The following is a 26,686-nucleotide window of genomic DNA, read 5'->3' on the forward strand; positions in this document are numbered from 1 at the left end:
GCTCTCACCTTGAGGTGCTGGTGCATGCAGTATCGACAGACCTTATGCTTCATCTCATGCGTGACATCACTCGAGAAAGGAATAAACCCACATTTTGGCTGTAAAATAAACAAATAAGGAGGAAAAATATTTAGGAAGAAATCACATACCTCTAAATAGACATATCACTGACTACAAGATAATGAGTGCAGCAAGATAATTAGGCATAAATGGCCCCAGAAGCTGTTTTCATTTGCACCTCCCAGCGGGAACAACACTTCCTGCATCAGATCACACAAACATCTCCGCTAGAGGACCCACGGCCGGAACTCTCACTGGGGAGGGTCAGTGGTGCCTCTGCACTAGCTCAACACAAGCACAACACACAATAGCTTCATGCTTTCATTCAAGAATGTGACTGCAAGCCTCTAGTAGTAGAGATGGACCCAGGACTCCCAGCTCCAAGAATCGGAACCATTGTTCCCACTGACACTAGCACATGGCCCGACAGAGGCCCATCTGATAGTTGCTAGGCTCCCAGAAGGTCAAGGAAGCCCCAGTGCCCTCTAAAAGCTGCAGCCTCTGAGCATACACCACACGCAGGCCTGTGCTGAGCCTCGGGCACTGGAGATGGTGGCTGGGGAAGCAGAACATCCACCCACAAGTGAGGAGGATCAGGAGGCATGAGCTCAGGCCAGGAGTGTGACCCAGAAATTGCTGCCTTAGAGTTGGAGGAGGGGAACAAAGGCCAGGGCATGTGAGGCAGCTTCCTGAGGGACCCTGACAGCCACCCCCGACATGGGAAGCAGAGAGCTGAAGCAAGGGGGGCCCTGGCCCATCCAGCCCCCACTGCCTGGCACCAGAGAAATTCAGGACTCCTGGCCATGACACACCAGTGCCTCTGAGGGTCACACTGGCCTTTGTGCCTCCAGGAAAATTCGTCCTGAGCAGGACAAAGAGAGCTCCCCAGTCTACAGGGCAACCTGCAGATGGGGCTCCTGCAGCACAGCAAACAGCAGCCAAGCACCAAGCAGGCATGGCCAGCAGGGAGGGGCACAGAGGAAGAACCCAGAGGACCCTGGCAAGCTGTGCCCTCTGAGGAAAACGGGTCAGGGGGACCCAACGCGCTTCCCTCTGGTGACCCTCAACCAGGGCTTGTTTTAGCCCAGGCATGCAGGGTGGGTGGGGTCTTCTATCATGAGCTACCAGGAATGAGCCTAAACCTGGGATCTGGGAGCCATGGCAGGAACCAGAACGCAGGTGGGGGCTGTGGAAGGACAGAAACAAGTGGAGTTTCCAGGAGCCAAGGGTGCCTACCACTCACTTCAGTGGGAACTGGAACCCAAGGCACGTGACTCTTGGACTTACTACCCAAGACTGACCTTTCCCCTTTACCCACACCATCTGCCCCTCGACAGGTCACCTTAATCTCTACACACAGAATCGGCCGGTGCTCTGCAAAGCGGTAGGTTTGGAGTCTGGTTAAATTAGGAAGGCACATAGCGTAACCACTGAGAGTATCCAGGTCCTTGTCACAGCGAGACTCTGGAAAACAGAGCAAGGGTCACACAGAGCAAGGTCAGTGAGAGAGATGAGATGATCCCTGCCCAAAACAGGCCCCGCCTTGTCCCTGGTTCCAGGGGGCATCTCTGTACCTGATGAAAACCTCATGTCTCCCTGGGGATTGTGGGACACACACAGTAACAACGTGGTTTAGGCCAGGTGAGGTGGCTCACACCTGTTATCCCAGCACTTTGGGAGGCCAAGGCAGGTGGATCATGAGGTCAGGAGTTCGAGACTAGCCTGGCCAACATAGTGAAACCCCGTCTCTACTAAAAATACAAAAATTAGCCAGGCATGGTGGCACGTGCCTACAGTCCCAGCTACTCGGGAGGCTGAAGCAGGAGAATTGCTTGAACCCTAGAGACGGAGGTTGTGGTGAGCCGAGATCGTGCTACTGCACTCCAGCCTGGGCAACAGAGCAAGACTCTGTCTCAAAAAAAAAAAAAAAAAGGCGGGCACGGTGGCTCACACCTGTAATCCCAGCACTTTGGGAGGCCTAAGTGGGCAGATCATGAGGTCAAGAGATCAAGACCATCTTGGCCAACATGGTGAAACCCCATCTCTACTAAAAATACAAAAAATTAGCTGGGCGTGGTGGCATGCACCTGTAATCCCAGCTACTCGGGAGGCGTAGGCAGGAGAATTGCTTGAACCAGAGAGGCAGAGGAGGTTGCAGTGAGCCCAGATTGTGCGCCACTGCACTACCGCCTGGCGAAGGAGCAAGACTCCATCTCAAAAAAAAAAACAAAAACAAAAACAAAAAATAACTTGGTTTATGTAGGGGGTAGCTTCACGCCTTATGGTATCGGCTCAAACTCTGGAGAGGCTGGAGACTGCAGTCAGCCACACCGATGGTCAGCCATGTCGATGTGCCTGAGCCCCAGTGAAAACTCTGGACAACAATGCCTGGTGAGCTTCCTGGTGGGCACACTCCATATGGGAGAGTGAATACTGCCCACACCACCCCTGAGGAGAGGACCCAGAAGCTCATGCCAGGTCTCTCCTGGACCCCACCCCTGCACCTCTCCCCTTGGCTGGTCCCATCTTTATCCTTTTCCTGCAATAAAACATAACCATAAGTAAAACAGTGAGTTATGTTGGTCCTTCTAGCGTATTATCAATCCTGAGGGTGGTCTTGGGGATGGTCCCCTAATTCCACAACACCCTTAGCCCAGGAACTTGAAGAGGAGGGGGCTGCAGGCTCTACCTTCTCTCACATCTAGGCCCTTCCCAGTCCCCAGTGCACCAATATTTCCCCAGCACCAGATCTGCTGGAACCCGTGGTGTGGACAGAACCAAACAAGCCTGGGCTCCAGGCACCCCAGGGACAGGCTTTCCTCCTTTAACATAATGAGCCTTACTCCAAGTCTGGTTTTTATCACTGTGGTGTGATAAACCTCCCACGGTTGTTATGAAATGGCAGGCTGAGCAGCAGAGCAGTTGCAGACAGCACCCTGGAGCCGGGCTCAGACTGCATTCACCGAGAGGAAGAACTGGAGCCTAGCCACTGTCCTGTGGCGTTCCCGCCTCCCCAGCCTTTCCTGCAGTGTGAAGCCCATTCCTCCCTGCCCCAGCCAGAGACTGCAGACCCAGAGAATGGTTTGCTTTCATTTTCCAAATCAAATCAGGAAAAAATTTTATACTGGCTAATTCCACACCCTCATTGCCTGGCTGTGCTCCGGGCAGAGGCATTTCCACCCTCAACTCACGAAATTTATCTCTTTGATCACTGACTGAAAAAAAAGGTTTGACCTGATTCCTGTCATAAGGCCACCAGCAAGTGCAGAAAAGGGAGTGGGTGGGGATGGAGGAGAAAGGGAGAGGCGAAGGGATGGGAGGGGATTGGGGAAGGACAACATGAGGATGGGGAAGGTGATGCCACAGAAGGCCCTTGGATTCCCTGTTCCTCAGAAGGACACAGACCTAGCCTAGACTCCGGTTGGGGACAGCTCCCTGGGCTGCAGACCCTCCTGGGCCAGGCCCTCCCTCCTGAAGCTCAGGTCACCTCAGTTTCCTTTTGCCTCTCCCAGGCCTCTGGGAACCCTTCCCGTTCCTAAGTCTGCCCCAGACCCTCCACCTCCAGCTCCTCCCTCATGTTGTTTTCTGTGGTATTAATTTGTTCTTTTTTGTTCGTTTGTTTGAGACGGAGTCTCACTCTGTCACCTGGGGTTGGAGTACAGTGGCGTGATCTCAGCTAACTGAAATCTCTGCCTCCCGGGTTCCAGCGATTCTCCTGCCTCAACTTCCCAAGTAGCTGGGATTACAGGTGCCCGCCACTACGCCCAGCTAATTTTTGTACATATATATATTTTGTTTGTTTGTTTGTTTTAGTAGAGAAGGTGTTTCACCATGTTGGTCACGCTGGTCTCGAACTCCTGACCTCAGGTGACCTGCCTGCCTCAGCTTCCCAAAGTGCTGGGATTACAGGCGAGAGCCACCGCACCTGCCTTTACTGGTTCTTCATCACATATTCTGTGCAGTGCTGTGGTTTTCTGATACAGAGAATTGTATCCATGAGCTCCCAGGATTTCTATCCCTGATAATGAAGTTTCTGGCAAAAGAATTACTGAAAACTGGCTGGGCACGGTGGCTCACGCCTATAATCCCAGCACTTTGGGAGGCCGAGGTGGGTGGATCACGAGGTCAGGAGATCAAGACCATCCTGGCTAACACGGTGAAACCCCATCTCTATTAAAAATACAAAAAAGTAGCCGAGCATGGTGGTAGGCGCCTGTAGTCCCAGCTACTCGGGAGGCTGAGGCAGAAGAATGGTGTGAACCCGGGAGGTGGAGCTTGCAGTGAGCCGAGATCGCACCACTGCACTCCTGCCTGGGCGACAGAGTGAGACTCCGTCTCAAAAAAAAAAAAAAAAAAAGGATTACTGAAAAATGCATATACCTAACATGGGTAATCATTTCAAACACTTTTCAAATGGAATATTTTAAATTACAAACAATATCTGTAAGTTAAACACCCTTACCTGGTCTTTCAGATTGTATCTTTAAACAAAGCTGTTTCACAAACTCTAAAGGTAGCTGAACGACCTCCTGTAAGAAAATACATGAAATTCTCAGTGTGAATTGCACAATGACATGAACACAATGCCACAGAACTGCATGCCTAAAAACAGTTGAGCTGTTGGTTTTTATGTTATGTGTAATTTATAATATTTTTTAAAGTTTATTGCTTAAAAAAAAATCAGTGTGTGGATTTTGGGAATAAAAGCTGCTCTATTATTTTCAGGACATGTCCAGGTTAAATAGAGACACCAACATTTCACTGCAATCAGGGTGGCCAGCTCTCAGAATGGCTGGGCCCACGGTGGTGACCAGCCTCAAAGCCAGCTTCTCTCGCCACAAAGCACCCCTTCCGAGCCCCCTTCTGGTCTCTACAGCATTTATGGACCCAGAGCAGTTCTTAGACCACATGGAAGACCCTTACTGACCACTCAGACAACCTGAGAACCTCACGCTTCCACCTGAGGAGCAGGTCAGCATCTGAAGAATCACTTGTCTCAGGAAGATGGCCTGTGCCTCCTCAGCCCTGAAGGACGTGGTATAACCAATGCCCAGCACTGCCCTCCACATGGCTCTTCTGTGCAGTTTCCCAAATGAAAGGTTTTTATTTAAGCCACATTGCTTACCATCTTCCCTGTCCTCTCGTGTTTCTAGGGTGGCAGAATTGTGACTTCTGAAAAAGTCCCAAACGGACACAGGAGATCTGCTAGGCTAAGAATGCTGGGATCCTGCCCACAGAGATCATGCCTTCCCCACCCTGCGCCGTCACATCCATGCCCCTCCACCACCACCCCTGTCCATTCCCAGTCGGCTGTGCCAGTTTCACTTCTGATTTGTCATTTACCTAAACATGCTATAAATTAACAAAATATGACTTACTATAAACTTAGTACAGAATTAGGTAAGGTGACACAATGGACAAGAGTGGGGAATGTAAACATTCGAAAATTTGTAAATTGAAGCCAAGAGCGTTGGCTCATGCCTGTAATTCCAGCACTTTGGGAGGCCGAGGCTGGTGGATCACAAGGTCAGGATTTCAAGACCAGCCTGACCAACATGGTGAAACCCCGTCTCTACTAAAAATACAAAATTAGCCGGGTGTGGTGGCGCACGCCTGTAGTCCCAGCTACTCAGGAAGCTGAGGCAGGAGAATTGCTTGAACCTGGGAGGCAGAGGTTGCAGTGAGCTGAGATCACGCCACTCCAGCCTGGGCGACAGAGCGAGAATTTGTCTCAAAAACAAAAACAACAAAAAAAGAAAATTCGTAAATTAGATCATCTCAAGAAGTCCAAGTACTGGCTCCACTCCAAAGAAAGCAAAAGCACAAAAGGCACGCATGCCGACTCTGGATGCCTCGCGTGTGAGAACCATCGCCCAAAACCACACAAGGCCGTCACTCTGCCTTGGCCCCCACCCCACAGCACATATGGCTGGGAGACACAGCAGCTACGCAGGTCTCAGGTCCACATACAGGGCAACGACCCTCCACACCGCTGTCTGCCCATGCATGGCCTGAACTCACAGTCACCCAGGTGAAAAGCAGACCTCGGTGGTTTATTTCCAACAGCTGTAAATCACTGATTTTATAATATGCATATCTGTGTTTAAAGTCAAAATAAAACGCTGGCCTGGAGCAGTGGTTCACACCTATAATCCCAGCACTTTAGGAGGACAAGGCGGGCTGATCACTTGAGCCCAAGAGTTCGAGACCAGCCTGCCCAACATGGTGAAACCCCATTTCCACAAGAAAAACTAAAATTAGCTGGGTGCGGTGGTGCGCACCAGTAGTCCCAGCTACTTGGGGGTGGGTGTGAGGCAGGATGATCACTTGAGTCTGGGAGGTTGAGGCTGCAGTGAGCCATGATCGCACCACTGCACTCCAGCCTGGGTGACAGAGCAAGATAAAAAACAAAAACAAACAAATACTGACAGTAAGCATCCTCTTAAAAGTCCAACTACATTGGCGAGTGTGGACCACGCCACCATCCAATCACGTGAGGACGCACCAACCAGCTCTTGCACAAGGTATTCACCTAAGAGGACCAGAGGGAAAGCCCACAGAAATCCCATCCTGGAGCTGTCCCCTGGAATCCCACAGAGCTCCCTGTAACCTGGGAGCTGAGATGTGGGAGGACCTCCAGGCATCACCCTCTAAATGGCAAAGGGACAACTGCTCAGAAGGACAAAGAGCCGCCAGCCTGGCTGTCCCTTCACTCATGTCCCCAGCCTGAAAACTGGGCCACGGCACAGAACTGTCAGCATGCGAGGTTCCAACGGAGCTGAGGCTGGCGCCAGAGAGCGTCCAACCTCACCAGGATTTGGCCCACAGCAGCGAGGTGGAACTCCTGAGCCTTCAGGTTCCTCCAGTATGTAAGGAGCAACAGTGGAAGAACAAGGCAAGCAGCTTCTGCCCCTTCCCCATTTCCTAAACTCTCCAGCTCCCACACCCAGCACTGGAGACAGGCCCAGACCAGCGCCACACCCACCGGGCAGGGCTGGGAGCCAGGGTGTGGCTGTCCCTGGCTCTGTCTCACGGTCTCATCACAGGGCTGGTTGTATCTTGCCCCACAACAAACAGGAGGGAAACTACGCTTTGCCTAACTCACCGACACATCTGTTCTTCCCTCACGTGGCCCTGTGTGGCCCTGCAGATGCAGCGACCCTGAGGGGTGCATCGTCAGCCTGGAATGGGCTCTGCACCTACTTTCCCACTGCGCCAGAGCCCAGCGGCGTCCTACTGGGACACGCTCACCTGCAGGGCAAGCAAGCTCTGCTTCACTTTGTCGGTATCTTAAGGCAGAGGAAATGCGCTCACAGGCGGCCTTGTGGGTTGAGCCCTGTTTGCTGTGGGTTCATTACTGTGACCCTTCCCACTGAGGACAAACCTGGAGCCAGACTGCTCATTGCTGGAAATGCTCCCCTATCCTGTCCCCTCAGAGCAGTCCCTAACGCTCACCCCACCAGGTTGCCAATGGGACCTCGAGTCTAATCCCATGCCCCTGGCCAACAAGGGCCATCACCACACGAGTCCTCCTGCCACAGAGGATTCTGGTGGATCTTGCCTCCAAGAATGTTCCTTCCTCAAGGAGAAAACTTGTCACGGCACAGAGCCATCTAAGGGATATGCCCTAGGGAAAAAACTGCATGAATCTTCCTAACAGGGGAACTGTGACCCCCAAACACTCCCAACATCACAACAGTGCAGTGAACAGGCTAGAGGCAAGTCAACACCCACAGCAGCTGCAGAAGGGTGGGACCCAGGGGCCTGTCCAGGTCTCAAAACTACAGATCTGCTCAGAGAACAGGCCCAGGCAAGAAGTGAGCCAGGGCTGGCAATCTTAGTCCCATTCCCACAGACCCCAGCACAGGCGGCAACACCCAGGGGCTCCCACGGCTTTTCTCTAAACCCCAGCTTTTAACATTCATTGGGCAGCGGAGGCCCTTCCTGGGTGTGATAAGCCGACCCCAGGACAGCCCCAGCAGGTGCCACCACCCTCCCATGTAGGGCCTCCTGTGTTCAAAGGTGCCCAGGGGCAGAGAGCAATGCCATTGCTTGAGGGGCATTGCTCAAGAGCCCTCACCCAGCAGGAGCCTTCAGGAGGGCTGGCAGAGACGGGCCCTGGAGAACAGGGGTTCACGTGGGCCCTCTGAACCCCATGCTTCTCAGCTAGGAAAGAGAAACTGCAGTATCCACTCTGCTGCCACCCAGCACAGCAAATGAGAAACACTTGGAGACTAGCTGGACGCGGGTTATCATTAAGCACAAAGTTCCAAAGATCACCGGGAAATTGGCAGTGTTGATGCAAAACATGCCCAAGAATTCAGATGTGAATAAAAAGCACTTACCCCATAATGAACATAGTTCTCCCCCAAAAACTCCTTCATGACATTTTTCCCAAAGTCCACTATGTTCTGCAGGTGTTGAAATATCTCTTCCGAGGTCTGTAAGAGACAACCACAGGACAGCCTTCGTGATGGGACCTCCCAACAGAGCCTTGCTTGAGGGGAGAGGCAAAAACCACCACGGACCCCACCACAAGCAAGGGGGACATCCCAGCCACAGACAGAACCCGGGTGACAGCCCTCAGACCCAGGGGAAGGTCCCCAGTGCCCTTCCTCACCAGCGTCCCTCCCCAGCCATGCCACCCTCCTCGGCCCAGAGACTTGGGAAGGTAGCAGTCTGAGGACCGCACTGCTGCCGCCTCCCGTCTGCCCTTCTCCCAAAGCGGCCCCTACACATGCCTTCCAAGGAATGTGACTTTGAAAACCTCCGACATCTCACATCTCAATCTCTAAAGAGATTTTACTCTTTAGCCTCTAAATGTAGAATATTCTTTCCCCAGTCAGAGGTTCTTAAAGAGTCAGTAAGGTGATGAAACTGGTTGAGACAGAAATCACCCCCATGTCCCTCAATGGCCCAGTACAGCTGTGGTCACAGCTTCTGACAAAAAAAACCCTGGCCAGGAGCAGTGGCTCATGCCTGTAATCCCAGCACTTTGGGAGGCTGAACCAGGCAGATCACCTGAGGTCAGGAGTTCAAGACCAGCCTGGTCAACATGCTGAAACCCCGTTTCTAATAAAATACAAAAATTAGCCAGGCATGGTGGCGGGCACCTGTAATCCCAGCTACTCAGGAGACTGAGGCGGGAGAATCACTTGAACCTAGGAGGCAGAGGTTGCAGTGAGCCGAGACCGTGCCACTGCACTCCAGCCTGGATGACAGGGCGAGACTCTGTCTCAAAAAAAAAAAAATAAAGCCCCCCTGGTCAACAGAAAAGTTACCACTCAAGTCTCCACTGATCACACAGTGTGCCACATTATGTCATTTACAGAGGAAATGTAGCCAACTGCTGCCTGGCAGACACTGCCCCGGCCACTCCACACAGGAAGATCTGACAGGGGCCACAGATGCCAGGCCTTGGGGGAGTCAAGGTTAGGGTGGTTTGGGCTCTGCAGTCACTGAATGCAGCAAAGAAGGGGACAGAGAAGGCTGGAGGCATGGACTTTGTTTCCATGGGATGCGTTCCACAAACCAAAACCACCTAGGCCTATTTCTCTTCAGCAGCTGAGGCAGAAACCGCAAGACAGTGGGGCCTTCCTATCCTCCGCCTGCCTGCCTCGACCCCACACCCACTGTGGCCCCACCAACGGCAGCTTTCTCCCATGGCTCTCTCCCCTCTTTCTACTGTGCCCACGCGGCAGCTGTCACCTCCACCCACCACCACCCCCCGGCCTCCCTTTCTATGACCTCTACCTCAGATGCTCCAACCTGCCATGTCCCAGGAGCCCTCAAGGGGCAGTGACTCACCAACCCCATACCATTGCCCAAGCCAGCCTCCGCCTGCTCCCACAGTGGAACAGCCACCATCCAGGAGCTCACCCCCAGCTCAGCTGCATGTGTCCCCTCACAGGACCCACGCATCAGATGGGGAGCAGAGAAGGGCCCTGAATGCAGGAAGCCTCCGCGACTCGGTATGCACCCCAGGACCAACAGAGATTTGCACAGAAAGCTGCAACTCAGTGGTCAAAAAAGAGAGGGCAATGCTTTTTCACGGGTGGTCCATGGCATTTTGCTTGGATGACTCAGAGAAGAGAAACCTAACGACCCCCTCCCACCACAATGTTTAACACAGACTGTCTACCACCACACTGGAGACTCTATTTTCATAGACACAATTCCACAGATGGGGAAACTGAGGCAGCAGGTGCTATGGAACTCGGCAACGCAAAGCTTGCCTGATCCTGGGGTCCTCGCCACAAGCAGGGCCCTCTGAGCAGGACCTACAGGCCAGGCCAGGGCAGCTCCTGGCTGAGCGCCACATAGACTACCACAGTGACACATGGGTTAACGTGCTGGACCCAGTCAGTTTTATATCAGGAATGATGGACACACCACTTTCTGCACTGAATGCTTGTATCATCTTTGAATGCTACAACTAGCATCAATGTTTCTACATCGGAAAAAAAAATCAGAGTTTTCTTAAATAATTGTTGTAAGTCTGGGTGCAAACCCACCCATCTTACCTTCTTCCTATTTGGAGGAAACTTCAGAAACCGCAGCACGACGCAGCGCTGTTGGAAAATAAAACAAATCTGATTAGTATTTGCTCAAAGCCAAGGCACAAGGTGTCAGTCAGTTTGGGGGTCCCATCCTCAGTGGACAAAGTCCACAGTGAAGCTCCACAGCAAGGAGGCTGGGAAGCCCCCAGGGCAGGGAGGCCAGGGCTGGGACCCAGCAAGGGCACACTGGGCAGTGGGACAACCAAGAACCTTCAGCCTCTGACCAGCCAGCCCCTCCCAGGACTTTATCTTAAGGAAAGAAATAAAATGGAAATAACCTAAATGCCCAACAATAATGAGATGGTTTAAACACAGTGGCACACATTTCAGTGTGATTTATAAATCACACAGTCAGTGATTTATAAGAAAGATCAGTACTTACGGACACAGATTTGTGGTTATCACATACTGTTAAATGAAAAAAGTTACCGAATGGGGCTTACAGAATGAGCCTATTTTCATAAAAAGAGAAATACACGTGAGCACACACACGTATGGGTGTAATTCTATTTATATAAAGTTCAAAAAACAGGTAACACTGACCCCTTGTGCCCACCCCTTGGGCATGCATGAATAGTTGCTAAGGAAGGTTCTAGAAGGGACTGGTCAGAGGATTATGGGTCCACTTACTTTGTGATAATTAAGCTATACCCACGATCTGAGTACTTTTCTGCAGGTACGTTACACTTCAAGTTTTTAAAATAAAAATGTTTAAATAAAATAAGTATTGATGTGTCTACATCAAAAGGTCTGAAAGGACATTCGGCACAAGTTTAACATCTCCAAGTAGCAATGATTACAATAACTTCTTTTTAATTTATCTTTATTTTGAATATTTCAATTTTTTAAATGTTCAAAAAAATACATTCTAAGAACGTACATTATATGTAGGAGGAGAATGCGCCTGGGAGGGGCTCTAACGGCAGTGCAAAGGTGGGGGGTCCAATGCCCTGGGAAGCGCCCCTGCCGAGGCCACAGGGCAAAGCCTAAGCAGGAGGGAGGAAGCAGGCTGCACTAAAGACGGCTTAGAAAGGGCCATTTTCTAGATCAAAAGATGCCTAAGGAGCAACAAAGGCCCTATGGAGACCAAGCCAGACTCCCCCACCCGCTCCCCGCAGCCCTACTTAGACAATGTACGTCGTTGCTCTTAAATCCCAGGCACCCGGCCCCCTGGGCCCCTCTGACTGAGCTCCAGTTCCCAGCCAATGCCATGCTCCTGGCTCGCTGTGCTGCAGATAGCTGTCCCCTCCTTAAGCCCCAAGCTGAGACCTGGGGAAGCCAAGATCAATGGCATGCATGCTACCGCTGTCCCCTCCCAAGCTGAAGGCAGGCATCAACAATCAATCATGGGAATCGACTGGCTAAGGATCATTTTAATGGAACTATAATTCCACCAAAATTTAAGGAAAGGCAGAAGTTGATCGACAGAAGTCCTAACTCTAGACAGCTCCCCAGAAGTTCGTTCCCCTAAAAGTGCATTTGCTCCTCACCTACACATGATGGTGTGTGCTATTCGAGTGTGCCTGACCCGCCCTCCAACAATTAGGCATCAAACACAGTACAGCTCTCCACTGATGGCAAGCATTCAGTGATGCCCTGCTAGCGATGTGTAAGTGTGACTGAGGGTCATGCTTGAAAATCAACACAATAAGAAAATACATTACATGAAATCCCTGATCAGTGTAAACTGACCCAGGCTGCCATGGTGCAAGCTCTCACCCTGTCCCTCACACAGGGCAAACCCCGCCACCCACAGGGGCCAAGCTTACTCACCTGCCAGACTGCATGCACAGAGCTCTGCGGCATCTACAGGAAAGCAAGGCCTGTCTCGGTTTATCATGGAACTAACTCATAAGCTGCACAATGGACTTTTGTAGCAAAGCAGTCCTGATCAGGGTGATGCCAGGCCAAGACACATGAGCTTTCTCTCCACAGAAATTCCCCACTGTAGCCTCAGAGGAAGGAGTTCAGTGGGCCCATGAACAGAAATACCAACTACAAGAACACAGGACCCCCCTCCCCTGGCAGCATTCACCTGCTAATACAGACTCAGCTTTCTGAAGTTCCCTGCCCCTCTGTTGCCAGGAAAGGCGGGAACAACTGGTCTTTTCTGTTTATTTATAAATGGAAATTATAAATTTCCTATGCATTATTATTACACACAAAACCACTCACATAAAGTATAAGTTAATTCAGAAAGCCATTATCTGGCTTATGAAGAAAAAATTTTTAAAAATAAGTTGCACAGGGCACTATACAAAGAAAAACCATACACAGGTCCCAGGAGAAAAAGATGTCAGAGCCTAAATCATTGAGGACTTAGTCCTCAGTCCTTGTGGATAATAAAATAACATCATTCTTCCTGCTAGCACTTATTAATAATTATTATTGCAATAGCCAGCAGGTGCTAGCACCAGCGCTTCAGGGCCCACGCTACACTCCTAAACTCCATCATCTCCAGCCGTCTCTCCCTCCAAGATGGGCAACTGAGTCCCAGTTTACAGAAATATGGGAAGTGAGACTGCACAAGGGCAGATCAGGTCTCAGAGAACCCAGGTCCAGCCTCGCCTGCTGGCCCAGCCTCAGCCTGGAGAGAAGCCTTGATCAAGATCAAGGTCTTGACCCCAAAGGTCAAGGTCATGTGGGGTGAAGCCAAGTTTAGAGGAGGGCCTGGACCCTGGGAGGTTCTCAGCGTCTTTCTGGTGGCCAGGCTCCTCGCTGCTACTGAGTCACCAGCAGGCTCTGGGGGCATTGGGTACTGTGCTGCCCCCCAGGAGAGGATATGGACACAGGCCTTCCAAGCCTGGGCAGAGAAGCCCAAAGTGGCCCTCCCACTCGGCCCTCCCAGCCCCTTCCTCACATTTCCTCCACCACCACATCCAAACACAGTGGCTTGGCCTCCCTGCTGTCACTCACAGGAAATCTCCTGCTATCCCTTCCCATTATGGAGCCCAAGAGCCACAACCAACCAAGGAAACCTGAATACAGTGATTTGTCCATTTCAAGGGAAACTGCTTTCTCCACCCACCCATTTATCATCCAAAAACTATTACAAGAAACCTACCCCCAGGGGAACCGTAGTCTCAGCCAGTTTTCATCAATACCAAAACTCAGACACACTCAGCTCACCTATTCTCTACAGCCCATGCCAACTGCCCCATGTGAGGGACCTGATCAGGCTGGGCTGGCCGAGGTGGGTGGTCCCCAAGATGTGCCAGGCTGAGGGCTTCGTAATGCATAGGCCACAGGGCCCCATTACCCTCATGCAGGCAGCTGGCAGGAAACAGGTGAAAAAACACTGTAGCAGCTCTCATTAGCAGAAAGACACAATGAGTCCAAGGGGCACCCATGGCTGGGGAAGAGGGGGTCAACACAGCCACCTGGGGGACTTCACATGAAGGAGTGAGCAAGAACCAACACCCCAGCAGGCTCCGAGCTCCTGCCAGCTCACCAGGTCTTAACCAGCTATGGAGATAATGACACTACTCCTCTTAAAAAAAGTATCTGAAACCAGATATTTGAAACTTACCTTCTTCTTAACGTCTAGAATAAAATGTTAAAAGTGAAGAAAAAGGGCCAGGCGCGGTGGCTCATGCCTGTAATCCCAGCACTTTGGGAGGCCCAGGCGCGCAGATCAGCTGAGGTCGGGAGTTCGAGACCAGCCCGACCAACATGGAGAAAACCTGTCTCTACTAAAAAACACAAAATTAGCCCGGCGTGGTGGCACATGACTGTAATCCTAGCTACTCGGGAGGCTGAGGCAGAATCACTTGAACCCAGGAGGCAGAGATTGCGGTGAGCCGAGATTGTACCATTGCACTCCAGCCTGGGCAACAAGAGCGAAACTCCGTCTCAAAAAAAAAAAAAGTGAAGAAAAAGAGTTAAGATTGGAAGGGAAGAACTTGATACTTCTGCAGTCTGAGGGCTGGGGTGTTTCTTAACAAAAGCAACGCTAAACCAAGGCCCAAGCCACACCTTTATGTCTTGGTAACAGGGAAGCTTCCACCTTGGAAAATTAGATGAAAATCAAGGATTCTAACAAGCCAAAAACACCAAACAACAGGAAGAACAAGAGGAGTGATGCATTTATACACACACACTAAATAACCCCAAGATTTAAAAGGTTAAGGGACACAACTCGTCACTTACAAAAGTGGCAAAAAGCATTTCAATAAAAATCCCTTTCTGGGCTGCAGCGGAAGGGTAGGTGGCACAGCCATGTGGAAAGCGATCTGCAACGTGTGCCAAGGGGCCTAATTCACCCAAGAACCCAGCCTGAGCATCAGAAGTCCAAAGAAGTGTGTACGAAGACTTTCGGCAAAGCCCACCCACAAGGATGTCCAACGCAACACTGGGAACACGTGAGCACCCTTCAAGACATGCATGAGGATTTTCTACATATTTGTGCTATAAAATTAAGTGAAAAAAAATCCCAAAACAGAAACAGATACGTAGTGTTGTTAACTACCCAATAAAGACAAAATACAGTCATGCATCACATAACAACACTTGGGTCAGTGATGGACTGCATGAAACAATGGTGTGTCCCATAGGATTATAATACCACAGTTTCTACCTTTAGATAACAAACACTTCCCATTGTGTCCCAATGGCCTGCAGTACTCAGTCCAGAACCATGCTGCGCGGGTCTGAGGACTAGGAGCCATAGGCTGCCCCACACAGCCTGGGCATGGGGCAGGCTCTACCATCTAGGTGTGTTCATATGGCAACAACATCACCTAACAATGCAGCTCTCAAAATGCATCCCTGGTGTTAAGCGATGCTTGACAATAAATAGAAAAAGACTAGAAGAAAGTGCACCAAAGTGTTAACAAAACTTGTTCTCTTCATGGAGAAATATTGGATGTTTTTCACTTCCTTCCTTCTGATATTCTATATTTTCAGAGAGAAGAAGCAACAATTGGTGTTAAATAAAAATAGAAGGCCACAAAAACCCCAATACATTAAAAGGGACACCTGCCAATGGGAAGCCTGAGGGGGCACCTTATGGGTGGAATTAAAGCTACTAACTACAAGAGCCTTTCAGGACAGATGAGGAGAGACTTTCCCGCCACCCACAGAGGACTCACTCTGGAGGGGTATCACCCACAAAATCAGCTGTTCCAGAGATCTGTCAAAAGACAAGGACCAAGGTCAAGTCTTCCATCAGGCTGAGGAGATAACCTGAAGCTGAGATCAGACAACTTTCATGGGAAGGGAAGACAGAAAAAGACAACAGCAGCAGGGGTCACCCCTCAGGATGCCTTCTAGAAGCAATGCTCAGCTCCAGCTTCTTCCGAATTGTGAAGATGACTCCCAGGCAGGGGCCATGGGGGATCCCAAATGTCCAGTCTCAAGAGGCTGCCCTCCCTGTAGACCCTCCTTAGCTTACCCCCGCAGCTCCAGCTCCAGCTCTGTCCCAGCCAGAGAAGGCTGCCCGGGGTCTGTCAGTCACCAGGGGCAGGAGGTGCCGAAGTCCACCTCTGCAACCCAGAAAGGGATGTCCAGGATGCGTAGGACCGTGGAGGGAACAAGAAGCAGGGCTTACGGTACTGGGCTCCAACAGGAAGCGCTCCCAAGGGTGAGCTTCGCTTCACTGGGAATGTATGGCCTCAGATAGAAATACAAAGCACATTTGACACCGGATGAAAAGTGACATCACCAAGATGCCTGTGGAGGATGGGAGCCCAGTACTCTGCAGGCAAGAGCAGGGAGGCCAGACTGGAGACAGCCTGGGGTCAGGGCGCAGTAAGTGCTGGCCCCTTGTCCAACCTGTATGGGGCATGTCCTCAAGCCTCGGCAACTCCGTCCTGACCTCATGGTGTCCTCTGCAGGACTGAAGCAGGCACAGGTGTGGGCCATGGGGGAGGTCACACACCCACACAACTCTCAGAACATGGGGAGGCCTGTGGGGATAGGCACACCTCGTGCATGGGGCTGACCCCTATAGGCATGGAAAGCCTCACTGCCTGTAAAGGGGAAGCAGGGCTGCCTAGAGGCCCACAGTGAGGGCCACAGGGAACTGTGAGCAAGTCCGGGCCCTCAGATCTCCCAACCGCTTGGCAACAAGGCAGGAGTGGCCGGGCCCTAGGCACAGCCTTGCTCTCTGCAGACACAGTAATGATGCTTTTCTCACCCTCCTGGATCGCAGCTCTCAGAAGACACAGGAAGTCACTGGGGAGCTTTGCTCTGACTGAATTCTGATGCAGAAGGAGGCTCAGTCAGGCAGAAGAAAAGTGGCTGTGTGACCTCAGAAGGTGTAAAAGTAGGAGGTGAGCCAAGGCCAAACCAACAAACCCCCGTGCACGAGAGGCACTGTCACAGGCTGCAGTCACCAAACAGCAGACCTCATCACGCAACTGCAGATACAAAGAAAGGAATAAACAAAGAGCGAGCCACAAGCACAGCTCTCCAATGAGCTCAAATGAGACAAGAAGGAACATCACCAGGAAAGAAGCCACATCAGCTGCGTCAGCCTAGAGCGCCACTAAAAATCCCAAATGCAGAATACATCACTAGTTTAAACAAAATGCTAGCAGTAACAGAAAGCTAAGACTATTTCAACTAGGTCCAGCTAAAAATTGTAAAAGGGAGCGACCAAGGGCTTGGGCACATGTTATACAGTCAGAAAAAAACAGAGAACATAAACGTATGTGCTTTCAGCATCCACAGTAGGAAGTATGGCCCAGTTAACAGTCCTGCAGGACTGCACAATGGCTTTCCACTTAACCTGTTCTAAGTGATTCTGTAATGGATATCTTTGTGTATAAGATCTTTATTTACGTTTCTAATTATCTCCTTAGAACGGACTACTAGAACAGAAATTAGTAAATCAAAGAGTATAAACTTTTTAAAAATTAATCTTTTTTCCTGAGTATCATACATATCCATTGTAGGAAATTCAGAAAATATTTAAAAAACAAAAAAAAGTAAAAGTGATTCGTGATACTATCAGTTACAGCCACTTAGAACATTTTCATCTATTTTCTTCTAATCATTTTGTAATTATAACCACATCATGCATCTTCTTTTGTAACCTGCTTTTTCTACGTAACTGTAAACACATCCTCATATAAAGGACTTAATTCATCCACTACAAAATAATCATTTAAATTATTAAAATATACAAAATCATGCTGTATGGCAAAAAAAATACATATATATATGATCTATGAACCAGAAATCTTAAAACACAAGATGAGAAGAGAAACAGTAGAAGGGCACCTGACCGCTTGAGCTTCACACCTTCAATGCCCAGACAAATATCCCAAGCACTAAACAGGTACCAAAGGGACACCAAAACTCCCCAGGCAACAAAACAATTTGCAGAAATGATCTGAAGCTCTCAGACTCTCAGAAAGGTCACGAAACTGGAACAACTGGAAGTGAGCAGCTTTGTCCACACATGTGATCAATTTAGTTGGCTGGTAAGCCAACTAAATGGCAAAGTCTTTCCTGTCACCTCTGTCAGTAAGAAGGAAAACATCATGACAGCTTAGTGTCATGACAGGAGTGGGCCACCTTCTGCCCCTGCTCCCCAAGGCTGAGGTGGTCCGGAAGGGGCTCAGTGCCCCAGACAAGTGCATGATCCAGATCTGAAGACACCTAGGAGATGGAATGACAAACCAAACCTAAAGTGACCTTCATAGGACAGGACACTGAGCCAAAACCAACAAGCTGAAGGCGAAGGAGGCAGGCGCAGGCGTCACACAGGAGAGAAATCCTGCGGCAGTGCATAAAGGGGCAACCTGTGGACTTCACTAACCTGAGATGTGGCCACTGGCCCAAGTACTGCACCTTCAGGCTGCAGCGAGGAAACTGTGCCCAGATGGGAAGTTCCCTCATCAAGGAGCCCCCACAGGGTCAGTGTCTGGAGCTCCAGACACACACCAGGGAACATGCCAGGCTGCCGAGAGCCTCTCAAGCATGCCACAGGGTCCACACCACATGAGGCAGAGAACACCATGGTTACCTGTGCCTGGGAAAGTTCAGGTGCACAACCATCCCAAACAGAGGCAGAATGCAAACTGACAGGCAAAATGAGAATCATCCTGGGCCGTCTCTGAGTGGAAGGGCCTTGGGGAAGCTGACCACCTTCTGTCAGGAACACCTTTAAACGCCTCTCTATGGCTGGCCTGCTATTTACCTTCCTGCCCACCCTGGGCACAACCTCCCACCCTCCTGTAGCCCACACCTAGTTCCTCCATCCCCAGGCCTCATTTCCTACAAGTCCTGCGCTGCACAGAAGGCTCTCTCTCATCCCATGTTTGCATACTGCAGGAAGAACATCACTGTGCTCCTTCTAGTGCTGACAGCCAATGACCATGCAGATCTCCTTACCTAGGCCCTCGGCTCCTGCAGGACGAGCTCAGGCTGGCTGAAGGCGCATCATGTTCTCATGGTAGAGGGGATGGGGGTCAGCACAGGACTCATTAGGGACCTTTCAATTCTGAGAGAAGCTGATGTCCTCTCAGAGAAAGCAACCCTCTCCTTACCTGGAAAAACTTGGCAAAGGCCTCCCTCTCTCTTGGACTGAATGAGGTGGATCTAAGGAGTACAGTAGCAGGGTCCACCTGCTCCCACACCCGGCTGGAAGGAGGCTGGGCGCATGCTCAGCATCCACAAGACCACGGACTCCTCCTATTCTACCTCACCCATCTCTTATCCCACTGACACACACCCTCTGCTCGAACTCAACAGGTCCTAAAAAGCTGCCTTCTGGGAATTGCTCTCTCTCCTCCTCGGTCCACAGCCTGAGCAAACAGGCCACAGGGCAGAGCTGGTGGGCTAGGCTTGGTTCAGGTTACCACATCAGGCACAGGCTCCATCTGACCTTAACTTGATGGGAAACATTTTCTCATGAGACTATGTGCAGTGATAATCTTCAATTTCAAATGATGAGCTAAAAACAACAACCAAGCAGGAATGAGCACAGTAAAGCAAGTTTAGATTTAAAATAAAAAATGAGGCTGAGTACAGTGGCTCACACCTGTAATCCCAGCACTCTGGGAGGCTGAGGCGGGCGGGTCATTTGAGGTCAGGAGTTTGAAACCAGTCTGGCTAACGTGGTGAAATACAAAAAAATTAGCCAGGCATGGTGGCAGGCACCTGTAATTCCAGCTACTTGGGAGGCTGAGGCAGGAGAATTGCTTGAACCCAGGAGGCAGAGGTTGCAGTGAACCAAGATTGCGCCACTGCAGTCCAGCCTGGGAGACAGAGCAAGACTCCGTCTCAAAAAAAAAGAATGAATAGCATAGGTCTAGAACAGCCTGGTGGCTGTAGGTAAATTTGAAAAGGTGAAAGAAAAAATAAACAATCAACCTGGCGTGGTGGCTCACGCCTGTAATCCCAGCACTTTGGGAGGCTGAGGTGGGTGTCACTTGAGGTTAGGAGTTGGAGACCAGCCTGGTCAACACGGTGAAACCTCATCTCTACTAAAAATACAAAAATTAGCTGGGCACGGTAGCGCATGCCTGTGATCCCAGCTACTCGGGAGGCTGAGGCAGGAAAATCGCTTGAACCTGGGAGGCGGAGGTTGCAGTGAGCCGAGATCGCGCCACTGCACTCCAGCCTGGGCAACAGAGTGAGACCCCGTTTCTAAATAAATAAATAAATAAAAATAAACAATCATTACAATCAGAGCTGTGCAACAGGGTAGGGCCAGGCTGCCCTGGAGATGCCTACTCAGGGAAGGGGGTGGACACATACTTGTCTGGAACGTGCAGAGAGATCCAAGTGCCAGAGGCAACTGCGTCAAAGCCTCTGCTCTTTCAACATGGGTGTCCTTTTGCTCCAAGCCTGAAACTTGCTGCTTCATCTGCCACTACTTTTGAAATTTAATGTATCAGCCCTCACTAAAGAAAAGTCTTAGGTTTACCTAAAATGCAGAGATACATCTAATCTTACCAAGGAATTGGAAGATTAGTATTTGTTTTGGGAAAGGATTCAGGGGATCAGCACAGTAACCCAACAACAAAAGGACTCACGCAGAAACATCCCTCACTTTGCCAATAGTGGACTACACAAGAGAAGGACAGCTTTAGGTTAGCCTGGTCCATTATTAATTCACCTAAAGATCTTGAGCAAAGCTTGTAGTCTCTGTTCTTTAGTTCCCTGTGCTAATGAGCAACAAAATCCAAAGGCACAACCTAGGGGCTACCTGGGTGTTTGCAGCTTACACTACAGCTGACCAATGCACCCAGCATAGGAACAACAGAAGCAAGGCAGGACTCCACTGCCTACATCATCCCTGACAAGCTGTTCGACTCGGGCAATGCCCTTAACCTCTCTGATTTTCACTTTATTTATCTGTCCAAGGGATGACAATTATCACTTGCTAAGCATAACTTGATGGGTTCCTGCGTAACTGGTCTTTGCAACAATCCCACAAAGTGAATTCTACTACTAGTTCCACTTCACAAATGTAGACACTGAGATTCCTGTGCCTTTAACACCCATGCTCTAACTCCTCCCTACATGACACCTATCCTCGCCTCCCTCACCCCCCTCCCCCGTTCCAGCCGGCCACATTCCTGCGTGGTTGTACCAGACAGCAAAAGGTCAGAGAGATCTGGGCCCTCACAGAAACCCACACGCTTCACTCTTGGGATTCACCTTTGCGAGATCTTACTGCAGTTTCTAAAACTTTCACCCTCGTTGAATTCAGGTGAAAGCCTTCAAATTCTAAAAGGTTGAGAAGAGGACCTGTGGACAACATCCCCTTACTATTAACAGCACAGCAATTCCGTAGTCTCACGAGGCTGAACTCTTTTGGTGCTGAGAGTAACAGCACTGTGGGCACTCTGCTTCTTCCTCCAGTGCTGGCCGGGCCCTCCGTCCCAACCAAGCCTCCACCCCACTGCGGCCTGGCAGTCCGGCGGGCATCCAGGCGGGAGGCGGCACCGCGTGAGGCTGAGCGCGGCACCGACGGGGCGGGGAGGGGGATGTGGAACTGACTCTGACGGGGAACGGGAATACTGAGGGGACGACAGACCGGCCAGGAGAAGGATCTGGGGCAATGGGAGACTGACCCAGTAGAGAGGGGATACTGGGGTGATGAGGAACCCAAGCGGTAGGGGGGGATGCTGGAGGGTGGGGGAATTCCGGAGACCGGCCGGGGAGGAGGAAGGTACTGGGGGGACGTGGAACCGACCCTGTTGAGGAAACGGATAATGGGGGCGGGGTGATACCGGCCGTCGGAGTGAGGTACCGGACCTGCGCCGCACGTCCACCGCTCACCTGCGCGTGGGCCACCACCAGGCTCTTATTGCCCTCTCCGTGGTACCCCCATTCATTCTCGTCCATCTTCCCCTCTTCCATGCCCAGGCGCAGCCCTGGCGCCTCGCGGGCTAGGACTCGGGGACGCGAGCTGGGGGCCGCCCGCCTCGCTGGGAACCAGCCGCTGCGGTCGGGGGAGGAGCGCCTGTCAGCTGCCGCCCCCGCTCGACCCCGCCGCGGCGACTAGCAAGCTGTGGCCGCCGGAAGCCACGCCCCCGGCGCCTGCCATGACGGAGTCGGGCAATTCCGGGTTCGTGACACTTTCCTCACACCGATCGCGACGGTGGATGGGCCGGCGGCCATCTTAGGTACTGGTAGAGCGACTCATTTCCGGAACGCGGTCTTGGGAGCCGGAAGAGAAGCTTCCGGCCTCGGCGCCGGATGTGTAGCTGGCGGAAGGAGCCGGCGGCTTTTCGGCGCCCGGTAGTGACCGGCAGTCCCCGGGTAGCCAGGGTGTCTGGGTGTTGGGACCGCTTAGTCGCGAGACCCCAGCAAACCTCTTGGCGTCTCTGAGCCTCAGCTTTTGCTTCTGTAGAATAGGGTGTACTCATCGTACATTTCATGGGAATACCTAACGCAGTCATTTGGATGGTCCTGTGAGGTAGAAAACATTGTCCAACGTTCTACGCGAGGAAATGTGGCTGGGCCACAGGACTGGACTCCCCAGTCCCGCTTTTGCCTGAAGACTTCGAGGGACGCAGTTGGAGCGCAAGGCTCCTGCTTGGCGGTGAGGCAGAGGGCTAACGACCTTCCTTCTCCTAAATTCACTGATGCGGCGGCAAGAATGGCACCGCCTCGTAGAGCTACCGCATTTCCCAAACTCGTAGTCTCAGGACCACTTTATACTCATAAAAATGAGGGCCCCAAGCTTTTGCTAATGTGGGTTACAGCTATCGATGTTACCACATTCTAAGTTAAAATGCTTTAAAGTTTTTTGTTGTTTCGTTTAAAAGTAAACAGCCGGGCGCGGTAGCTCACGCCTGTAATCCCAGCACTTTGGGAGGCTGAGGCGGGCGTATCACCTGAGGTCAGGAGTTTGAGACCAGCCTGGCCAACATGGTGAAACCCTGTCTCTACTAAAAATACAAAAATGAGCCAGGTATGGTGGCGCAGGCCTGTAATCCCAGCTACTCCGGAGGCTGAGGCAAGAGAATCATTTGAACCCAGGAGGCGGAGGTTGCGGTAAGCCAAGATCGCGCCATTGCACTCCAGCGTGGACGACAGAGTGAGACTCCATCTCAAAAAAAAAAAAAAAAAAAAAAGTAAACATTACATTCCACGCCCACCACCAAAATAAAGGAGTGGTATTGTTTTACACTTTTGCAAATCTTTTTAAAATCTGACCTAATAGGTTCTCACATGTGCTTCGGCATTCGGTCTGCTGCAATATATTGCATTGGTTGACATACACATTGTGAAGAACATCTGCAGTTATGTAGTTCACAAAGAGAGGACCTGCAGACCCAACTTTGAGAACGGCTGGGCACCTTGCCAGGCCTTGGGAATTGTAGTGAAATCAGGCCAGTGACTCAGGAAAATGAGCTGAAGGCTTTGAGCATCTCTTTCCTCCATTTTAGGCCTCAAAAGGGAGGCTGGGGCAGGGCATGGTGACTCATGCCTGTAATCCCAGCATTCTGGGAGGCCGAGGTGGGCGGATCGCTTGAGCTTAGGAATTCCAAACCAGCCTGGCAACATGGTGAAACCCTGTCTCTACAAAAAATTAGCAGGGTGTGGTATCTGTGCCTGTAGCCCCAGCTACTTGTAGGGCTGAGGGGCTGAGGCGGGAGGATCGCTTGTGCCCGGGAGGTTGAGGCTGCAGTGAGCCGTGATCAAGCCACTGCACTCTAGCCTGGGTGACAAAGCAAGATTCTGTCTCAAAAAAAAAAAGTGGGGGAGGCTGGGTGTGGTGGCTCACGCCTGTAATCCCAGCACTTTGGGAGGCCAAGGCGGTGGATCATGAGGTCAGGAGTTTGAGACCAGCCTGGCCAATATGGTGAAACCCCATCTCTACTAAAAATACAAAAATTAGCTGGGTGTGTGGTGCACGCCTGCAATCCCAGCTACTCGGGAGGCTGAGGCAGGAGAATTACTTGAACCCGGGAGGTAGAGGTTGCAGTGAGCCCAGATCGTGCCACTGCATTCCAGCCTGGGCAACAGAGCAAGACTCCGTCTGAAAGAGAAAAAAGGAGGCGGTGGGGGGGGGGTGGTGGGGAAGCTGGGTGGGAGGTGGCTCAGGACCCTCCACAGGGATGGTTGAGAAATGGGGGCAGAAACAGCCACTCCTGGAGGTAAGTAGCTCCCAACAGAGAGAGAGGACCTTAGGGCTCACAAAATTCAGTCCTTCCCACGCCCCCACAAGGCCAGGGAAGCTTAAACATGACTGCAGTTGAGTTCCTCAGCACCCTGCAAAAAGGAGAGTTGGGGTGAGATTAAATAATATATTAAGCATTAAAATATTTCCTTGAAACCTCTAAGGTGCTAGAAATGTTCTGTATCTTGATTTTTTCCCCCATGGAGGTGTATTATATCCCTGATACTTTAAAATTGCCATTATATGGTGATGATAAAAAGCAGATTCATGCTGGGGATGGTGGCTCACGCCTGTAATTACAACACTTTGGGAGGCCCAGGTGAGTGGATCACTTTGAGTTCAGGAGTTCAAGACCAGCCTGGCCAACATGGTGAAACCCATCTCTACAAAAAATAACAAAAAAATTAGCTGGGCATGGTGGTACACACCTGTAGTTCCAGCTACTCAGGAGACTGAGGTTGGAGGATTGTTTGAGCCCAGGAAGTGGAGGTTGCAGTGAGCTGAGAGCACACCACTGCACTCCAGTCTGGGTGACAGAGCCAGATGTTGTCTGAAAAAAAGGTTTTTTAAATCCAAATTTGGTTTTATCATTCTTTTTAAATTCACAGGCAACAGCACCTGGGCAGACCATGCCATTTCCCCTCCTGAACTCGGGTGCTTTGAAAGAAGTATAGGGGGCCGGTCGCGGTGGCTCCCGCCTGTAATCCCAGCACTTTGGGAGGCCGAGATGGCCGGATCACCTGAGGCTAGAAGTTCAAGACCAGCCTGGCCAACATGGTGAAACCCCGTCTCTACTAAAAATACAAAAATTAGTTGGATGTGGTGGCGTGTGCCTGTAATCTCAGCTACTTGGGAGGCTGAAGCTGGAGAACTGCATCAATCCAGGAGGTGGGGCTGCAGTGAGCTGAGATCCTGCCACTGCACTCCAGCCTGGGTGACAGCAAGACTCCGTCTCAAAAAGAAAAAAGAAACAAATATGGGGACGAACAGTGGGAATGCAGAGGAGAGGGTTCCCATCTGAGGAGGCTGGAAGAAAAGAAGGCTGGAAAAGAACCATGAGAAACACATGTCTGTCGTTTAAGCTATACAGCCTATGGTATTTTGTCATGGCAGTCTGAGCCAAGAGAGGGAGCAATTTAATTAGATGTGTTATGCTCTTCTATCTAGGTCCCATATAGATTGCCAACACTGTTAGTGCTTTCTCCTTTTGTGTTAAAAAGGAAAGATAGAGGAAGGGAGGGAAGAAGGAAGGATGGAGAAGAGAACAGAAAAGTAAAATGAAAATGTCTTCTAACCATATTGAAAAGCTATCCAGGGCCGGGCACGGTGGCTCACGCCTGTAATCCCAGCACTGTGGGAGGATGAGGCGGGCGGATCACAAGGTCAGGAGATCGAGACCATCCTGGCCAATATGGTGAAACCCTGTCTCTACTAAAAATACAAAAATTAGCCGGGCGTGGTGGCAGGCACCTGTAGTCCCAGCTACTTGGGAGGCTGAGGCAGGAGAATAGCTTGAACCCAGGAGGCAGAGGTTACAGTGAGCTGAGATTGTGCCACTGCACTCCAACCTGGGCGATAGAGTGAGACTCCGTCTGGAAAAAAAAGAAAAAGAAAAGTATCCAGAAACAGGGTGGAAAAGCATTGGTAATTGTGGAGTACCAAGTAATGAGTTCTTACTCTACTCTTGCTATTTTTATGTGTGTTCGGAATTTTCCTTACTAAGAAAGTATGTGATACCATGCGTTGCCACGATATGGCATGGCATGATGAGAAGGCACTTCACCTCTGTGGCGTTTCCCCCCAACCCATAAGCCCTTTCTAATCATTAGAAAACATTAAACAAACCCAAATTGAGGGACAATTCACACAGTTCACACAGTTCATACTGAGACACGGACCAGGAGAAGGAAGGATCTGGGGGAACGGGAGACTGACCCAGTCTAACCAGGACTTCAAAACTGCCATGGTCATGGAAGACAAGGATAAACTGAAGAAGTGTCACAGATCAGGGAACCCTAAGGAGACATGATGACTCAATGCAATGTGGGATCTTGGATTGGATCCTGGAACAGAAACAGACATTGATGGGAAAACAGGTAAAATCCAAATAAAACCTAAAGTTTAGTTAATAGTAGTGTACTAATGTAAGTTGTTTTGTTTGGGCATGTGCCAGTTATGTGTATTCACTTTGGGGGCGGCTGGTGAAGAGCACATAGGAACTCTGTACTACCTTTACAACATTTGTGTAAATCTAATCCCAAAATAAAAAGTTCATTTACAGAAAAAGAAGACACTCATTGTTCAGCTCCTTTCATAATTAATTGAAATTCAAATAATGAAGTGTCGGCCAGGCACAGTGGCTCACGCCTGTAATCCCAACACTTTGGGAGGCCCAGGTGAGTGGATCGCTTGAAGTCAGGAGTTCAAGACCAGCCTGGCCAACATGGTGAAACTCCAACTCTACTAAAAATACAAAAAC

The 26,686-nt window shown here is 50.6% G+C and overlaps 1 protein-coding gene and 1 long non-coding RNA gene across 4 annotated transcripts in view, besides 6 other annotated features; one reads left to right on the plus strand and one right to left on the minus strand.

Moving 5' to 3' along the window:
- Nucleotides 1-22,081, minus strand: part of IPPK (inositol-pentakisphosphate 2-kinase) — a 56,949-nt gene extending 34,868 nt beyond the window's left edge. For all 3 annotated transcript variants that reach the window (NM_022755.6, XM_017015041.2, XM_047423732.1), the window contains exons 1-6: nucleotides 21,858-22,081; nucleotides 10,584-10,631; nucleotides 8,406-8,501; nucleotides 4,523-4,589; nucleotides 1,403-1,524; nucleotides 9-98 (exon numbers count right to left, since the gene is read on the minus strand). In NM_022755.6, coding sequence (NP_073592.1) covers nucleotides 9-98; nucleotides 1,403-1,524; nucleotides 4,523-4,589; nucleotides 8,406-8,501; nucleotides 10,584-10,631; nucleotides 21,858-21,938 — 504 coding nt within the window. In that variant the 5' untranslated portion in view covers nucleotides 21,939-22,081. The remainder of the gene's footprint in view (nucleotides 1-8; nucleotides 99-1,402; nucleotides 1,525-4,522; nucleotides 4,590-8,405; nucleotides 8,502-10,583; nucleotides 10,632-21,857) is intronic.
- Nucleotides 21,183-21,352: an enhancer, noted in NCBI's record as "active region_28596". NCBI's record gives its function as "activates an Ori minimal core promoter by ATAC-STARR-seq in GM12878 lymphoblastoid cells {active_cell/tissue: GM12878}" and the evidence as "EXISTENCE:reporter gene assay evidence [ECO:0000049][PMID:35858748]".
- Nucleotides 21,873-22,052: a silencer, noted in NCBI's record as "silent region_20031". NCBI's record gives its function as "represses an Ori minimal core promoter by ATAC-STARR-seq in GM12878 lymphoblastoid cells {active_cell/tissue: GM12878}" and the evidence as "EXISTENCE:reporter gene assay evidence [ECO:0000049][PMID:35858748]".
- Nucleotides 22,093-22,542: an enhancer, noted in NCBI's record as "active region_28597". NCBI's record gives its function as "activates an Ori minimal core promoter by ATAC-STARR-seq in GM12878 lymphoblastoid cells {active_cell/tissue: GM12878}" and the evidence as "EXISTENCE:reporter gene assay evidence [ECO:0000049][PMID:35858748]".
- Nucleotides 22,312-26,496, plus strand: LOC107987095 (uncharacterized). Its single transcript, XR_001746837.2, has 2 exons — nucleotides 22,312-22,623; nucleotides 24,816-26,496. It is a non-coding gene; the product is annotated as an uncharacterized LOC107987095 (long non-coding RNA).
- Nucleotides 22,553-22,602: an enhancer, noted in NCBI's record as "active region_28598". NCBI's record gives its function as "activates an Ori minimal core promoter by ATAC-STARR-seq in GM12878 lymphoblastoid cells {active_cell/tissue: GM12878}" and the evidence as "EXISTENCE:reporter gene assay evidence [ECO:0000049][PMID:35858748]".
- Nucleotides 23,357-23,651: an enhancer, noted in NCBI's record as "tiled region #2132; HepG2 Activating DNase matched - State 4:PromP, and K562 Activating non-DNase unmatched - State 2:TssF". NCBI's record gives its function as "activates a minimal TATA promoter and a strong SV40 promoter by Sharpr-MPRA in HepG2 and K562 cells {active_cell/tissue: HepG2 | K562}" and the evidence as "EXISTENCE:reporter gene assay evidence [ECO:0000049][PMID:27701403]".
- Nucleotides 23,909-24,078: an enhancer, noted in NCBI's record as "experimental_109781 CRE fragment used in MPRA reporter constructs". NCBI's record gives its function as "activates a minimal promoter by MPRAs in K562 erythroleukemia cells, with activity observed for both the introgressed and non-introgressed 9:95434326 variant alleles {active_cell/tissue: K562}" and the evidence as "EXISTENCE:reporter gene assay evidence [ECO:0000049][PMID:34662402]".

Source organism: Homo sapiens, chromosome 9 (assembly GCF_000001405.40).
Source record: "Homo sapiens chromosome 9, GRCh38.p14 Primary Assembly".
Classification (NCBI taxonomy): domain Eukaryota; kingdom Metazoa; phylum Chordata; class Mammalia; order Primates; family Hominidae; genus Homo; species Homo sapiens.